Source organism: Homo sapiens, chromosome 19 (genome assembly GCF_000001405.40).
Source record: "Homo sapiens chromosome 19, GRCh38.p14 Primary Assembly".
In the NCBI taxonomy this organism is placed as follows: domain Eukaryota; kingdom Metazoa; phylum Chordata; class Mammalia; order Primates; family Hominidae; genus Homo; species Homo sapiens.
Genome location: NC_000019.10, coordinates 43,435,071 through 43,441,070, shown reverse-complemented (window position 1 = coordinate 43,441,070; position 6,000 = coordinate 43,435,071).

The following is a 6,000-nucleotide window of genomic DNA, read 5'->3' as shown; positions in this document are numbered from 1 at the left end:
ATGCCTGTAATCCCAGCTACTCTGGAGGCTGAGGCAGGAGAATCACTTGAACCCAGGAGATGGAGGTTGCAGTGAGCCAAGATCGCGCCACTGCACTCCAACCTGGGTGACAGAGCAAGACTCTGTCTCTAAACAAAAACATAAACAAACAAAAAACTTCCTAAATCCATTATCCCCATACTCTGATCTGTGCCTGCCTCTTAGATGCCGCCTCCTGCCATTCTGCCACTTGCCTCTTCTTGCCAGCCTTCTTTCCATTGCTCACACACACCAATCTCATGCCCGCTTCTACACCTTGGCACCACCATTCCCTCTGCTGGGAAAACCTCCCTCATGGTCTCTTCATTCACACGTGGCTGGGATGTCATCTCCTTTTGGTGGGCGTCCCTGACTACCTTATCGAAAGCAGTATCTCCTCTCCCCATCACAGCCTCCGTCCTTTAGTCAGTTGTGCTTCTCTTCAGAGCACTTACTTCTCTCTACCTGACTTCATATCGTAGATCTGTTTGCTTTTTATGCATATGGAACTTTCTCTTGGTCACTGTTTTGGTTTTTTACAGACAGGGTATTGCTCTGTTGCCCAGGCTGGAATGTAGTGGTGTGATCATAGCTCACTTCAGCCTCAATCTCCTGGGCTTAGGTGATCCTCTCACCTTGACCTCCCAAAGTGCTGGAACTATGGGCATGAGCTACCACCCCTGGCTAATTTTTAATTTTTTTTTTCTTCTTTTTGAGATGGAGTTTCGCTCTCGCCTCCAGGCTGGAGTGCATTGGCGCGATCTCGGCTCACCGCAACCTCGGCCTCCCAGGTTCTTAATTTTTTTTTTTTTTTTTTTTTTTAGAGATGGGGTCTTGCTATGTTACCCAGGCTGGCTTTCAATTCCTGGGCTCAATCAATCCTCCCACCTTGGCCTCCCAAAGTGCTGGGGTTACAGGCGTGAGCCATCATGCCTAGTCTGTCTTGGTCATTGTTGTCTCTTTCTCACACAGAGCAAGAGGAACCCCATAAACTGTTGTTTCCTGAATGATGGAACCATCTTGTTGGGTTAGACCTGCTCTTATCCCATTTTATAGATGAGAGATCTAAGGCTCAGGGAAGTTAAGTCACTCAGCTGACAGGTAATGGAGATGGGTTTCAAATCCAAGCAGGCTAGCTTCAGGATTTGGCTGAGCAGCTGCAGGTTTCTTGTATTGGTTAGTTACAATAATGCTGTGTAACAAACCACCCCAAAGCTCAGTAGCATGTTTTTTTAGCTTCTGAGTTTGTGGGTAGGGCATTTAGCTAGGCTTGGCTGGATGGTTCTTCTGGGTCATCTGTACCTTCTCATATGTCTGGAACTCAGCTGTCAGCTATTCCAGGTTGGTCTGCAACAGGTTGGTCTGCAAAACCAATCACGGCGGTTTTGCTTCAAGATGGCGTCACTCTTGACATGCAACAGGCTGCTTTCCCATACACGGCCAAGCCCAGAGTCCTCTCATCAGCTCAAAGTTCTTGGGCTCTGCTTCCAGGTAGGAGAGTCAGAGGCCGTTTAGGGGAGGACCTCAGGGAGCTCCCTTGTATGGCTTCTTTAAAGGACGCTCCCAGGTTCAGGATGCACAGGGTTTTGGCGGCGGGGGCCGGGGTGGAGGCGGCGGGGGGGGGGGGGGCGGGGTAGGGGGTGGGGAGAACGGAAATGAAGTAGGAGAGAGTAGTCAAGCAAAGAAGCTGTTGTGTCTGCATTTGCCATTTGGGTGTGGTTGTCTAGAGGAAGTTGGCAGGAAGCTTTGAAGGCATTCACATTTGCTGGTTGATGAGAAGTGAATGATTTGATGTTATTTGCTCTTAGTCATTGCATTATTTGCTCTTAGTCACTGCATTATCAGTTTTTGTTTTTGTTTTTTTAAATATATGTATGTATCTTTTCATTATATGTCTATGTTTTCTTAATTAATCTTAATCTTTCTTAATCTTAAAATGAAGATTTGCCTTTAGCTCCGTTAAGCATTGATTTGTAAATAAAGGTGCAGATAATGAGGGTTTCATGCATCTCAAGACCTTTGGAGCTCATTTCAAAATCTTTTCTCGTGTGCGCCTCATAGACCTGGATTCCATCCTGGTTCCATGTACGTGATTTGCAGAAGCCACTTAATTGTCATGACAGCTCTATGAAGCCAGACTGTGATTATTGCCATTTTATAAGCCAGGGAAATTTAGTGGTTTGTACAAACCAGTTTCCCAGGATTTTGGCTGCTTGTGAAAAATAACCAGACCCAGATGATTCCAGATGATTTCCCTGAGTAGAATGGGCTGGCTGGGCTGTCACCGGCAGATTAGAGACAGCTGTCTTGGCATGAGGGCCTGAGCCAGGGATCCCAGCTGGGTCTCATCTCTCCAGCATCACAGTAGAGGGCTGGTCTGGTCTGCAGCTGTCATTCTTACCGTTACTGTGGGTGTGGGCGTTTCCTGGTTCCTGATCTTCTGGAGTAACCTCCCTACCCTCAGGGCTCTTGGGCTTGGAGTGCCTTATATCTGTAATAGCAACGATGCTTTTACAGTTGGTGAACCCCAATACATAGATAGACAGATGGATATATAACTCAAACTCTCCGATAAGCATCTTTCAACCTTCCCTCTGAGTCATCATTAAGGACCTTTGGGTTTTTTCCCCTGTAGAGGCAATATTTGAGAGATTTATTGTTCCTGAGGATGCATTTGGAATGTTGGTTAATCGCCCAGGCTGGAGTGCACTGGTACCATCATGGCTCACTGCAGCCTTGACCTGCTGGGCTCAAGTGATCCTCCTGCCTCAGCCTCCTAAGTAGCTGAGACTATAGGCATGCACCACCATGCCCAGCTAATTTTTAAAATTATTTTTATTTTATTTATTAAAAAAATAGAAATGGGGTCTCGCCGTGTTACCCAGACTGGTCTTGAACTCCTAGGCTCAAGCAATACTCCTGCCTTGGCCTCCCAAAGTGCTGGGATTACAGGCATGAGCCACCATGCCTGGCTAATTTTAAAATTTTTTTCTAGAGTTGGGGGTCTCACTATGCTGCCCAGGTTGGTCTTGAAATCCTGGGTTCAAGCAATCCTGCTGCTTCTGCCTCCCAAAGTGCTGGGAGTACAGGCATGGGTCACCATGCCCAGCCCTAATAAGCATTTATTGATTTATCGATTGACGTGGACCGGGGCTGCTGTAGTCATCTGGAAGCTCAATTGGAGCTGGAGGATCTGCTTCTAAGATGGCTCCTTCACATGACTGGCAGGCTGTGCCTGCTGTTGGTAGAAGGCTTCAGTTCCTCAGCCCCATTGGCCTTTCTGAAGGCTGCCTTGTAGGGGCCAGCCCTACGGGGCTTAGCGGGTGTTCTCCCCATGTGCGGAGACGAGAGATTGTAATAAATAAAGACACAAGACAAAGAGATAAAGAGAAAACAGCTGGGCCCAGGGGACCACTACCATCAAGACGTGGACACCGGCAGCGGCCCCAAAAGGCTGGGCTCGCTGATATTTATTGCGTAGAAGACAAGGGGGCAGGGTAAGGAGGGTGAATCTTCTAAGTGATTGACAAGGTGAAGCAAGTCACGTGATCATAGGACGGGGGCCCTTCCCTCTTGGGTAGCCTAAGCAGAGAGAGGGAAGGCAACGTACGTCAGCGTTTTCTTCTCTGCACTTATAAGAAAGATCAAAGACTTTAAGACTTTCACTATTTCTTCTACCCTTATCTACTACGAACTTCAAAGAGGAGCCAGGAGTGCAGGAGGAGCATGAAAGTGGACAAGGAGCATGACCATTGAAGCACAGCACTACAGGGAGGGGTTTAGGCCTTCGGATGACTGCGCGCAGGCCTGGATAATATCCAGCCTTCCATAAGAAGCTGGTGGAGCAGAGTGTTCCCTGACTCCTCCAAGGAAAGGAGACTCCCTTTCGCTGTCTGCTAAGTAATGGGTGCCTTCCCAGACACTGGCGTTACCGCTTGACCAAGGAGTCCTCAAGCGGCCCTTATGCGGGCGTGACAGAGGGCTCACCTCTTGCCTTCTAGGTCACTTCTGACAATGTCCCTTCAGCACCTGACCGTATACCCGCCGGTTATTCCTAGGTTATATTAGTAATGCAACGAAGAGTAATATTAAAAGCTAATGATAAATGTTTATAATAATGATTGATAATTGTCCATGACCATCTCTATCTCTAATTTGTATTACGACTATTCTTATTCTAACTATTTTTTTTTATTATACTGAAACAGTTTGTGCCTTCAGTCTCTTGCCTCGGCACCTAGGTAATCCTCCGCCCACACCCGTTTAGTTGACTCGAGACAGTACAGATCCACCAAAGTGGCTGAAACCTACATACACCAAAAGCATGGCCTTGATGAGGACGAATTTTTCCAAATTTCCTGGAGGGACTTAGAGAATCTTAAGAAGTTTCCAGAAAGCTAAGATGTGTTTCCAGGGCTCTGTGAAGGAAGAAGTTGGTCCCCTTTCAGGGTGTTGTGTGTCCCCATTGGGGTCAAAACCCTGGGAATCCCTGACCTGTGCCATGTCTTTTAAAATTTTCAGGCTAACATCCTTCTGGGGGAACCCAAACCCTGCCTGGGGAATAACTTGAAGCATCTCAGTTCTCAAATTGCCCCCTGCTTACCCCTAAAAGGAGACCACACAGAGCTCCACCAACCTCGAGGCAGGTATGTATGTGGAGGGAGAAGAGCAGGAAGAGATTCAGAGCAGTGTTTCTTTCTTCTCTTTTCTTCTTCTTCGTTTTTAGATTTATTTATTTGTTTGTTTGTTTATTTGTTTGTTTGACAGAGTCTCACTCTGTCACCCAGGCGGGAGAGCAGTGGCAGGATCTTGGCTCACTGCAACCTCCTTGTCCTGGGTTCAAGCGATTCTCATGCCTCAGCCTTCGAGTAGCTGGGATTGTAAGTACACGCCACCACACCTGGCTAATTTTTGCATTTTTAGGACAGACCGGGATTCACCATGTTGGCTTGGCTGATCTTGAACTCCTGACCTCAAGTGATCCACCCAACTTGGTCTCCCGAAGTGCTGGGATTACAGGTGTGAGCCATGGCACCCAGCCATTTCTTTCTCTTTTTCTCTCTTTCTCTCTTTTCCTTCCTTCCTTCCTTCCTTCTTTTTCTTTATCTGTCTCTCTTTCTCTCTTTCTCCCTTCCCTTCCCTTTTTCTTTTTCTTTTCTTTCTTTCATCTTGTTCTGTTGCCCAGGCTGGAGTAGTGCAATCATAGCTCATGGCAGCCTTGAACTCCTGAGCTCAAGTGATCCTCCCTAACCACCCAGCTTTTCTTATTTCATCTATCTTTCCAATTAATTTGAGATCAACCCCAAACATATCATTTCACTGCTACATAATGAGGAGACAAAAACTTTAGTATCTTATAAGAACTCTTAAAAGAAAATGACCATAATATATTATCATATCTAAAAGTTATTAATAACTTGTTAATATAATTAACTATCTGGTCAGTGCCTTAAATTTGACTGGGGTCTCATAAATACTCCTTCTTTTTTTTTTTTTTTTTTTTTTTGAGACAGTGCCTCACTCTGTTATCCAGGCTGGAGTGCAGTGGTGTGATCATGGTTCACTGCAGCCTATTGACCTCCTGGGCTCAAGCAATCCTCTTGCTTCAGCCTTCCAAGTAGCTGGGACTGCAGGTACACCACCATGTCTGGGTTACTTATTTTTTTCTTTTTTTAGAGATGGTCTTCATGTGCTGCCCAGGCTTGTCTCCAACTCCCAGGCTCAAGAGGTGCTCCCTCCTTGGCCTCCCAAAGTGCTGGGATTACAGGTGTGAGCCACCACACCCCGCCATAAAACATTTCTTGCACAGTTGGTTTATTCAACTCATGAGAGAAACAAAGATCTACACATTGCATTTCATGGATCAGTATCTTAATTCTGTCTTAATTTTTGGATTCTCCCTCTTCCTCACTCCCTTCTCTTACAGTACGTTTGCTGAATAAATAGGGTCCTTTTTCTCATAGGGTTTGCAACATCTGGGAT